The sequence below is a fragment of the Homo sapiens genome, chromosome 1 (genome assembly GCF_000001405.40).
Source record: "Homo sapiens chromosome 1, GRCh38.p14 Primary Assembly".
Classification (NCBI taxonomy): Eukaryota; Metazoa; Chordata; class Mammalia; order Primates; family Hominidae; genus Homo; species Homo sapiens.
In genome coordinates, this window is record NC_000001.11 from 153,911,046 (window position 1) to 153,923,104 (window position 12,059).

Below are 12,059 nucleotides of genomic sequence, written 5' to 3' on the forward strand. Positions count from 1 at the left end.
GCTTTAAGAGTATCAGTGAGAAATTCAAGCATATTCTCTGGAACACAGATGTTCCAGGGAATAAAGTGAAAAAAGAGCAAAAGCTATTCTAGTTTAACCAAAGGAGAAAAGCTTTCAAGAAATTAAATGAAAAATATCCACTAAAAGTACCACCAATACTATTTGCTCATATCCAGCCACAAAAATTCAATTTATACACAACACTGAGAATGGTTGGTTTTTTTTAAAGAAAGACAGAGAGCAAGAGGAGAGAATGAGAGAGATACACATACACACAAATCAACAAAGTCTTCACAATAACCAACAAAAGAAAGAGCTAATGTGACACAGTTTAGGCAGCTCATTAAAGATTTACTAAGCAGTGCATCAACAAAATTAACAACAGAATTAAAAATGCACAACTTCCGGGCCAAGTGTGGTGGCTCACACCTGTAATCCCAGCACTTTGGGAGGCCGAGGCGGGTGGATCGCCTGAGGTCAGGAGTTCGCGACCAGCCTGACCAACATGGTGAAACCCTGTCTCTACCAAAAATACAAAAAATCAGCCGGGCATGGTGGTAGGCGCCTGTAATCCCAGCTACTCGGGAGGCTGAGGCAGGAGATTCACTTGAACTCGGGAGGCGGAGGTTGCAGTGAGCAGAGATCGCGCCACTGCACTCCAGCCTGGGCAACAAGAGTGAAACTCCATCTCAAAAAAAAACAAAAAACAAAAAAAACAAAGCCAACTTCCAAAGCCTTCTTCACTCAATTTATAAACCTATAAAATAATGGGTAAAAATCTCACTGTCCTCCTCTAATACCTCCGTGCACCATAACAGTATCCTTTATTCATCAGTCCTTTTATACCCTCAACACAACTGAATCTAGAACACAACACAAAAGTCACACATAAGCTACATTTTAATTTTTCTATTTTGATAAAACTTTATCATATTCTATTTTACTCTCCCTGTAATTATCAAGTATTCGCGGAGCCAGAATAGAAAGTTTAATTTGGAAATTAAAAATGCCCAGATTCTAACCTTAGTTATACTCTTCGGTGATATCTACCCAATATATTTGACAAAGTTAGGAACTTACAGTATAATATTAGGTAGATTTAAAGGCTTTCATAGTACAAAGTCATGCAACAATCAAAATGTTCATAAAGGGTGGTACCTATATATGTAAATTCATGAGTTCTCAAAAGAAATTGAAGAATTTTTTTTTCTTCACCAGCTCAGTTACAACTATCTTCCTGGGAATGCACTGAAGGTGAAGGCTAAGTTGGTTGACACAGCAAGAATCCGTCTCAAAATAAATAAATAAGCAAAACTTTCAAATTCTCTATACACTCAGGTGAGAAACTGAGAATTACTATCTGAATTATAAAATAAGAGAATGACACAGTAACACATAAATTTATGCATGGACACTTATTAAAGGCCAAACTGTAGTGCACAGAAAGAATGTCATGCTATTCACACCAAATTTCACAGAACCTAACGGTGCAATACTTCAAAGGTCTTCTGGCCAACCTGTCCACGGCAGTAGCAATACATGTGACCAACTGTTTCAATCCTTTTGATGGCAACACATCAATCTAGCCATGTAAATGTTAAAGAGTGATTGGAAAACCACCCCTCCTTAAAAAATGTTACCCTATTGAGCAAATTTTTTCAATTTCTTTACTGGTAGATTAAAATTTCACACTGCTAGATAAAAAGTTTGGAATCTAGGAGTGAACATCATTCAGATAACCTTTACGCCTTTATAAGACAGGACAGGCTGGGCACAGTGGCTCACACCTCTAATCCCAGCACTTTGGGAGGTCGAGGCAGGCGGATCACCTGAGGTCAGGAGTTCAAGACCAGCCTGGCCAACATGGTGAAACCCTGTCTCTACTAAAAATACAAAAATTAGCCAGGCGTGGTGGAGGGCACCTCCCAGCTATACGGGAGACTGAGGCAGGAGAATTGCTTGAACCCGGGAGGTAGAGGTTGCAGTGAGCCAAGATCACGATACTGCACTCCAGCCTGGGCAACAAGAGTGAGACTCCGTCTCTAAAAAAAATTGTATTTTTAGTAGAGACAGGGTTTCACCACGCTGGCCAGGCTGGTCTGGAACTGCTGACCTCAGGCGATCCACCCGCCTCAGCCTCCCAAAGTGCTGGGATTACAGGTGTGAGCCACCACACCCAGCCAGGACAAATTTCTTAAAGTTTTGATTTAATTTCAAGACCTACATATAAACTTTTAAAGGACTGGAAAAAAAATAATCAAAGGTATTGTTCCTTTTCTCCTCTGATCCCCAGGCCTGTCTGCATGCCTCACAGAAGAGAAACAATGGTGAGTTTTACAGCTTTCTTAGTGTGATACTGCCATCTTTACAGAAAGCAAGGGTTTCTGCTCATTAACAAAATTGAAACCTTACTCTCCTGTTTCTAGCCTGTTAGATGAAAGGCAGGGGCACCAGCTCAGTTACAACTATCCTCCTGGGAATGCACTGAAGGTGAAGGCTAAGCTGGTTGAACTGCAATATTTGCCTTCGAATTCATGGAGGAAAAATGGCAGCCCTCATACCACTGATGTTTCTAAAAAATATCTGGCCTAAGCTGGGTGCTGTGGCTCACACCTGTAATCTCAGCACTTTGGGAGGCCAAGGCAGGCAGATCACGAGGTCAGGAGATCGAGACCATCCTGGCTAACACGGTAAAACCCTGTCTCTATTAAAAATACAAAAAAAATTAGCCAGGCATGGTGGCGGGCACCTGTAGTCTCAGCCACTCGGGAGGCTGAGGCAGGAGAATGGCGTGAACCCGGGAGGCAGAGCTTGCAGTGAGCCGAGATCGTGCCACTGCACTCCAGCCTGGATGACAGAGCAAGACTCTGTCAAAAAAAAAAAAAAAGAAGAAAAAATTTAGTCAAGAGTTACAAGGGGCCGAGCACAGTGGCTCACGCCTGTAATCCCATCACTCTGGGAGGCCAAGGCAGGCGGATCACAAGGTCAGGAGTTCGAGACCAGCCTGGCCAACACAGTGAAACCCCATGTCTACTAAAAATACAAAAATTAGCTGGGCATGGTGGCAGGCGCCTGTAATCCCAGCTACTGGGGAGGCTGACACAGGAGAATCGTTTGAACCCGGGAGGCGGAGGTTGCAGTGAGCCGAGATCATGCCATTGCACTCCAGCCCCCAGACTCTCAAAAAAAAAAAAAAAAAAAAAAAAAGAGTTGTGAGCAAAGCTCAACTTGTGTAAACACATAATGATTAAAAATAATACAGTGCTTTACAGTTTATAAAGTAACCTTTACATGCATTATCTTATTTGACTGACAAAGAAACCTAGCGAAATAGATAAAGCAGTTACTGATTCTCATTTCTAAGCTGAGGAAACTAAGGCTCAGAGACTTCAAGTGACTCAACCAAGGTCACACAGATGGTAAATGGCAGAACCAAGGCTCCAACCCTTGTTCTGTTCCCAGAACATAACAGAAGGGGCATTTCTAAATTTATGCTGCATTTTCTAAACCCATAGGAGTATTTATTCAGCAAATATTTTAAAATATTTTTTAGGTGACAGGCACCATGCTAGGCAATGGAAATACAATAGTAAAAAGACACAGCAAGGCTGGGTGTAGTGGTTCACACCTGTAATCCCAACACCTTAGGAGGCCAAGGCAGGAGGACTACTTGAGGCCAGGAGTTCAAGACCTGCCTGGGCAACACAGGGAGACCCCATCTCTACAAAAAATTTAAAAATTAGGCTTGGTGGTGTGTACCTGTGGTCTCAACAACTCAGGAGGCTGAGGCAGGACTGCTTGAGCTCAGGAGTTCAAGGTTACACTAAACTATGACTGTGCCATTGCATTCCAATCTGGGCAACAGAGCAAGGCTGTGTTTCAAAAGAAAAAAAAAAGGCCAGGAGCAGTGGCTCACGCCTGTAATCCCAACACTTTGGGAGGCCAAAGCAGATGGATAGCTGAGGCCAGGAGTCTGAGACCAGCCTGGCCAACATGGCAAAACTCTGACTCTGCTAAAAACACAAAAACTAGCCAGGTGTGGTGGCATGTGCCTATAATCCCAGCTACTCAGGAAGCTGAGGCGGGAGGATCACTTGAACCCGGGAGGCGGTGGCTCACGCCTGTAATCCTAGGACTTTGGGAGGCCGAGTCAGGCGGATCACAAGGTCAAGAGATCAAGACCAGCCTGGCCAACGTGGTGAAACCCCGTTTCTACTAAAAATACAAAAATTAGCTGGGCGCGGTGGCATGCTTGTAGTCCCAGCTACTCAGGAGGCTGCGGCAGGAGAATCACTTGAACCTGGGAGGCGGAGGTTGCAGTGAGCCAAGACTGCACCATTGCACTCCAGCCTGGGTGACAGAGCGAGACTCTATCCCAAAAAATAAATAAATAAAAATAAACTTAATAAAAATTATGAGGGCAAAGAAGAAAATGTATCTAACTCTCTTTGGGCAAGTCAGGGAAGGTTTCCCAGAAGAAGTGGCATTCTTTATGAGATTCAGAAGCTACCTGTAATTAAAAAGAACTGTATTTCAAAAATTAGCTGGGCAAAGTGGCACAGGCCTATAGACCCAGCTACTGAGGAGGCTGAGGTAAGAGGATCACTTGAACTCAGGAGGTGGAGGTTGCAGTGAGCCGAGATCGTGCCACTGTGCTCCATGGAGCCTGGGCAACAGAGCCAGAACTTGTCTATATAAAAAAAAAAAAAAAAAAAAGAAAAGAAAAACCACTGTATTTGCTCACACATTAACTATAAGGTACAGAAGTAGGGCTGGATAGGAAGGCAAACACCAACAACATAAAGGGCCTTGAATACCACTCAAAGTTTACATTTTAATCTTTTAATAACTGGAAACTACTAAATACTTTTAAGATGAGGAAAGTAGAATAATCAGTAAGTGTTAGACTATTTTGAAGGCACGATGATAGAGAGTTTACAAGAGAATAAGACAGCCGGGTGCGGTGGCTCACGCCTGTAATCCCAGTACTTTGGGAGGCCCAGGTGGGCGGATCACTTGAGGTCAGGAGTTTGAGACCAGCCTGGGGCAACATGGTGAAACCTCGTCTCCACTAAAAATACAAAAATTATCTGGGTGTAGTGGCAGACACCTGTAATCCCAGCTACTCAGGAGGCTGAAGCAGAACAATCACTTGAACCCAGGAGGTGGAGGTTGCAGTAAGCTAAGATTGCACCACTGCACTCCAGTGACAGAGTGAGACTCCACCTCAAGAAAAAAAAAAAAAAAAGAAAAAGAGAGTAAGACTATAAACAGATGTGTAAGCGATCAAGGCAATATCCCAAAATAAGAGCTGTTGAATGAGAACAGCAATGGAGACACAGAAGAAGCTAGATTCAGAAATATTTAGAAAGTAATAGGTAAGACAGAAGTGACAATGATGCTCACATTTCTGGTTTAGATGACTCAATGAATCACAGGGAAGAAATGATGTTGGAAATGTTGAGTTTGAGTACCAACTTGATACAAAGGTATAGATACGTCTAGCTCACAGTAGACAACCGGAAACAAAGGGCTGGAGTTTAGGAGAGAAATGATAATATATTGAATATATATGAAGTTTTTTTCAATAATCAAGTGTATTTTACCATTTTAACGGGAAGGCAATAATTTCATCATTATTTGCATTATGCTTTAAAGTTCACAAAACATTTTATGCTTGTATTTCATACTTTTGTTACATACAAACATGAGATTAGTATGACAGGTTATTTTTATTCCTATTGGATCAACAAACTTTTATTTGTTTATTTATTTATTTTTGAGAGAGAGTCTCACTCTGTTGACCAGGCTAGAGCACAGTGGCACAATCTCGGCTCACTGCAACCTCTGCCTCCCGGGTTCAAGCTATTCTCTGCCTCAGCCCCCCGAGTAGCTGGGATTACAGGCGCCCACCACCATGTCTGGCTAATTTTTGTATTATTAGTAGAGATGGGGTTTCACCATTTTGGCCAGGCGGGTCTTGAACTCCTGACCTCGTGATCTACCCCCCTCGGCCTCCCAAAGTACTAGGAATACAGGTGTGAGCCCCCGCACCCGGCCTATTTTTTTTTGAAACTGAGTCACACGCTGTCACCCAGGCTGGAGTGCAATGGCACGATCTCAGCTCACTGCAACCTCCACCTCCTGGGTTCAAGCAATTCTCTGCCTCAGCCTCCCGAGTAGCTGGGATTACAGGCAACTGCCACCATGTCTGGCTAATTTTTGTATTTTTAGTAGAGATGGGGTTTCACCATCTCGGCCAGGCTGGTCTTGAACTCCTGACCTCATGATACACCCGCCTCGGCCTCCCAAAGTGCTGGGATTTCAGGTGTGAGCCACCATGCCCCACATATCTTTTTTTTTTTTTGAAACTGAGTCTCACGCTATCACCCAGGCTGGAGTGCAATGGTGCAATCTCGACTCACTGCAACCTCCACCTCCCAGGTTCAAGCTATTCTCCTGCCTCGGCCTCTCAAGTAGCTGGGATTACAGGTGCCCACTGCCACGCCCAGCTAATTTTTGTATTTTTAGTAGACACGGGGTTTCACCATGTTGGCTAGGCTGGTCTCGAACTCCTGACCTCATGTGATCCGCCCGCCTCAGCCTCCCAAAGTGCTGGGATTACAGGCATGAGCCACCAACCCCGGCCAACAAACATTTATTATTAACTACATGCCAGGCACTGTACTAGGCACTAAACAAATTACCAAAACAAATCCATGCCTTCTAAGACCTACATCATAGAAAGAGAACCAATAGGCAATAAATGTAACAAATAAATATATTATAAAAGTGTTAAGTCCTATGAAAAAGAAAATAGAGCAGGCAAGGATAAGCATGAGGGATGGGAACTGACAATACAATTTTAAAGAAAGGAAGGATAAGACTTCATTAAAAAGGTGACATTTAAGCAAAGACGTTAAGGAGGTGAGGCAATCAGCCATTCTCTGTGGGGAAACCTAGCTGTTTTCCCACTAGAAGGAATCACTTGGTCTTAGGAACCTGCCAAGGTTCTAAGATAGAGTGTGACTGATCAGCATTCAAGGAGCAAGTCAGTGTGGCTGGAATGGAGAGAGCAAGAGGGAAGATGACAGCCGATCAAAAATGGAAGAGGTTGGGGAGGGCAAACCATGTAAAGCCTTAAAGGCTATTGCAAGGACTGGCATTACTCTGTCTGCAAGAAATGAGAATTCAAAAATTAGTAGCATTACCCAAAATCAGTTAGCTAATAAATCACAAAGCTAGAATTCAACCCAGGACTTCAAGGCTCTCCACAACCTGTGTTCCACTAGTCCAATCTGCCACATATTAGTTCATCCCCTCTCTTTCAGCAAGTTTGAGTTTAAATACTCTAAAAATGCTAACATTATAAAAATCCTCTGGGCAAGAGATGCACAAGTCTTTCAGTTAACATTTGCAATCCTTCACAATTATAATGAGAATTTATTAATCCTGGTGTCTAATCTAAATCCTACTAACATTCCAGCATGTATTTTTAAAGATTATAAATTCCACCCTCCCTTGAAATGAGACAAGCCGAAGAAAGCTTTGATCAAAAGATTTAAAGTACGACTCTCAGCTTTAGGTAACAGTAACCTGAATTATTTTTTTAAATGGATACTAAGGCCGGGCACAATGGCTCCATGCCTGTAATCCCAGCACTTTGGGAGGCTGAGGTGGGCAGATCACCTGAGGTCAGGAGTTCGAGACCAGCCTGGCCAACATGGTGAAACCGTCTCTACTAAAAATACAAAAATTAGCCAGGCATGGTGACAGGTGACTGTAATCCCAGCTACTTGGGAGGTTGAGGCAGGAGAATCACTTGAACCCAGGAGGCAGAGGTTGCACTGAGCTGAGATCACACCACTGCACTCCAGCCTGGGCAACAAGAGCAAAACTCCATCTCAAAAAATATAAAATAAAATAAAATAAAATGGAACTAGCCAGGTGTGAAAAACAGTAAGAGAATGGCTCAGGAATATGGAATTGCTATAATTTCCCTTAATTTCTTTAGCAGTTTACTAGTTATTATTAATAACAAGTTCACACATTGTCAAAGATGCTTCTGCAGTTACTATGATTCTTTGAGGTCTGGATCTGACCACTTCATATCTCAAAAGTAACGAATGATGTGTTCTTAGTAATCTGCTGCTTTTTGTACTATAACCCAAAACTGTTGATAGTTTCTTGCCAGCTGATGGCAACCTAGGTAAATGGCAAAGGTAAGGGGGATTTTGTGAGAGACAGCAAACATTACCAAGCCACCATCTAAATACCTCAGACAGGTTAAAAGCCCTAATGACCCTGGGACACTCCCTTCTTACTGGATGAATTCAAGCTATACAGGAATATTTCATATATCCACAAGGGAGAAGGTAAAAGATGGAACATGAGGAGGGGTCTGTTTCAAATCAGACCTATTCTTCAGAAGCTTTCATCACTGCTACACAAAGAAAGGAGGTTGCTGCTTCAAGGATTCTGGAGCCACCAAAATCCCCAAACAGGACCTACAGAAAAAGCTTCACAGAGACTACTGAGGATAAACCAAATAATATGGCTAATAGAAGATACACCACAAAATCCAGTCATTGTAACATAAACTGAACTTCCTTATATATCTTTTCCTAGGCTTAGCCAAAAGCAGGAGAACTGCAACTCTATGTGGTATTGTCTGATAGACTGGATTTTTTCCCCAAGCAAGAGGTGGACAGCTTTATGCCAGGACTAGATTTACAGTCAATCTGGGTGTGTGTCTTTACTTTTTCTTTCCCTCCAAACTACCTCAGAAAATGTCTGGCTATTGTGCCTTGATATGTAATAATGCAGGGCTTTAAGTACTGCAAAGGTCTGGAAAAGAAAGTCCCTCAGTCCCAGTTATGGCTCAAATCTTACGATTTCTCTAGCAGTTGTTTTAATCAACCAAAGCTGGTTGGCTTTTCTCAATGAGCCAAGCAACATGAGCCTTCTAAGTTAAGCGCAGAGGGGCTGCTTGTCAGCATGACTCCCAATGGGGTGGCTAACATGGAATATGCTCCAGAGTCTAGAAATCAGGACAGCACAGCTGCTGTTTTCCTCCACATGCACCTCCAGCTTGGTGGGTGGGGGAGGAAAGGAAGAAGAATCAGTAAATTGAAACAGGAGGAATGCTTTACATGCAACACACAAGACTCACTGCTTAAAGGTGAGATGAATTCAGAGGTCTCAACACATGATTAGGATACCTTCACTGACACAATGGTCCCCAAAATTCAACCTGGAGGTCCAGCCTTGCCCGTCTGGCAAAAAAAGGGGAGAAGGGGGCAAAACCCCAAAATGGGGGACAGCATACAAGCTTTTGAAAGTACTTTAAGGTTGTGAGGCTCAGAACAAATTCCTCACACTTCCCTCTGCCACCACCCTGTGGCCCTATGCTAAGCACAGCAGTAAAAGTTACTGCCAGAATTTAGATTTGAAGGGCTGATCAGGGAACCTGGTTAACACTGTTCCTAGAAAAGTATTTGAGTGCAGCCTATATTCAGACCCTACTGGGACTGCCTCTAAACAGGAAGTTAACACACATCACATACGGTCAGGGAAGGCAAACCACAGTGTCATAAAGATGGATGCTGCTGTCAACTACAAATCACTCTCACCTCATGGAGAGTGTTCTCAAGTAAGGAATAATAGGCAGGACAAAAGTCTGTAAGCCTCACCTCTACTCAAACTGGGTCACTCAGCCTATAGATTCAGCCTTCTGATTCCTGCTGATTAGTACTTTTCTACCTTGTTCCATGATGACTATCACTGCCACTGGACTAAAAAAACTCTATTCCCCTAAAAAGTGAAGACAGCCTTACCATCAACTAGTTATTCATATAAGCTATCTGCTTATATGAATCCGATCCTTGACCCAGTCCATTCCCAAATGGCCAGGGACTAGATATCCGTCACAAAAAAAGCAGCACGATCCAACAAGTGTGGGCCTTCCCTCAAAATATACTGAACTCCTCCATAGCACCTCCAGAAGTGGCCTCCTTCCCAACTAAGTACTGACAGAAATACTACTCTAGGACAATACTTGAAAGGCTGCTCCAGCACCAAAATAAGAATCCAAGTTATCAGACTGCAAGGAAGAGTTCAGGTCAGCATACCAAATGAAAAGCAATAAAGTTAGCACTAAACTCCCAAACAGGATAATCACCAACAACATATAGGCACCATGCTGCTGCCAGAAAACATCAAAGTCATCTGTGCTAGGAGGGGAAGGAGACTAGATGGCTGGAGGACAGAGATGGGAAGGAAGCTTACTTTTCACTTTGTACAACCACATGCATGCTTTTCTACTCAAAATATAAATTTTTAGAAAAAATGTCCTAAAAACTACAAAAGCATCAGCTCTTCTCCAACACAGATCTGTTAAACCTGTTTTAATTCCATCAGCTACAAATCCAAATCCCTCTTTTGCAGTCTGGCCTGAAAACACTGCTCTTGCCCTTTGCTGAAATATATTAAGTATCCTTCGCCTCTGCTGAAATGTATTAAGTATCCCCCCATCTCTCTCTCTCTCTTACACACACACACACGCACACACACACGCCCCCCAAATAAGCATTTATCAGAAATGAGAAAACTGGTTCTCAGGAGGCTACCTGATTTTCCAGGGGACAACAGAGAAAAGGTTGCTAGCTAGCTCAGTTAGCATCCACATGCCACCCACCACCAAGCCTCCATCTCCACCTCACTGCCAGCCCTATGAGCTAACATCTTGTGTTTGGAAGTTGATGCTGGGGAAGAATCCAAAGAGGCTACCATACCTTTATGAAACGGGAAAGCTGTACCGGGCGCGCGAATGGCACCTGAACCTCTGCACTCGCATGAGTGGCTCGCTCCTCAATGTAATTGAGAGCAGGGAGGCCAAAAGTACTCTAAGTCCCGGTGTGGTTAGGGAAGGGTAAGTTCCACCGACCCTCAGGAACTGAACTGGAAGACAGATCCAGTGTGTCCCACAAGCCCAGTCGCTGTAGAAGCTAAGTGCCCACATAGCCTGAGACAATTCTCTTCCCCTACGGGAGGGCGAGCGAACGGTGGACGACGAAATAAAGGGGTAAGGTTATGCGCTCCTGATCCCTTTCCCTAAATAAAGATAATTATCTGGTGCTTCCTTTACCCTTAGATTCCCCATTCGTCCCATCCGCCCGCAAACACAAGACTGAGCAGGGAGCGGCCCCCGCACCCTGAGGGCACCACTGGGGGTGGAGAGAGTTAAAAAAAAAAAGGGGGGGGCGCGCTAGAGAGGAAAGGAGGGGAGCATGGCGGGCATGAGGCAGGGAGTGAAAGCGGGGATGGCGGGGGAAACGGGGCGTGAGGGAGGGGAGAAAGAGTACAAGGAGACGAAATGAAGGGACACGAGCTGGGGGCGCGCGAGGCCGAAGTGAAAGACCGGGTCGCGCGCGCCAAGGGGGGAGAGGATGAGGTGAAGAAGGAGCGCGAGGCGGGGGCGCGCCGTGCCGGGGTGGGGGGAGGGGGACGCAAGGCGGGGGCGCGCGGGCGGGCGTCGGCTCGCGGGCGCTTCCCCTCCCCCCGCCCCTCCACCTTTCCCTTCCCCCACCTCCGCCACCACTGCCTCCTCCCAGCCTCCTTCCCTTCCTCGCTCCTCACCGCCCCCGGGCGGGCGGGCGGCCAGGCTGGCCTAGGCCAAAGCTCCTCACCTGGCGGTGGCGGTGTAACTCCCGGCTAGCTCGCCTCCTCAGGCGGCGGCGGAGGCGTCGAAAAAGGAAGAGGCGACGGCACAGGGGATCCAGACCCTGCTGACGGGACTAGGGACGGGGGTAGGGGAGGGGGGCGGGCCGGACCGGGGCGGGCGGGCGGAGCAGACACTGCGGTACAGACGGGGGCAGCGGCGGCGGCGACGGCTGCACCGGCGGCGGCGGCACCACACAAACAAGGACGCTGATTGGGCAGCTGCCAAGCGCCTCGGCTCCGCCTTACCCACACGCCACGACGCCCATTGGGCGACCTAAGCCGGCCACCCCGCCCTCATCTTCTCGGCCATGCCAGTAGAAGACTAGATGCCGGGACTT

At 45.4% G+C, this 12,059-nt stretch overlaps 1 protein-coding gene across 2 annotated transcripts in view, besides 2 other annotated features; it reads right to left on the reverse strand.

Moving 5' to 3' along the window:
- The window catches only part of GATAD2B (GATA zinc finger domain containing 2B), a 118,248-nt gene extending 106,321 nt beyond the window's left edge, over window positions 1-11,927 (reverse strand). Inside the window, exon 1 of one of the 2 annotated variants that reach the window (NM_020699.4) lies at window positions 11,688-11,927. Coding sequence is in view for 1 of the 2 variants with exons in the window: in XM_047426115.1 (XP_047282071.1) it covers window positions 5,407-5,408 (2 nt within the window). In the remaining variant the exon portion in view is untranslated. Of the gene's footprint in view, window positions 1-5,406; window positions 5,780-11,687 lie in introns of those variants that run through there. The other variant, XM_047426115.1, reaches the window with a different exon arrangement.
- Window positions 3,668-3,962: a silencer, noted in NCBI's record as "tiled region #2699; K562 Repressive non-DNase unmatched - State 17:Gen3'". NCBI's record gives its function as "represses a minimal TATA promoter and a strong SV40 promoter by Sharpr-MPRA in K562 cells {active_cell/tissue: K562}" and the evidence as "EXISTENCE:reporter gene assay evidence [ECO:0000049][PMID:27701403]".
- Window positions 11,711-12,030: a silencer, noted in NCBI's record as "silent region_1345". NCBI's record gives its function as "represses an Ori minimal core promoter by ATAC-STARR-seq in GM12878 lymphoblastoid cells {active_cell/tissue: GM12878}" and the evidence as "EXISTENCE:reporter gene assay evidence [ECO:0000049][PMID:35858748]".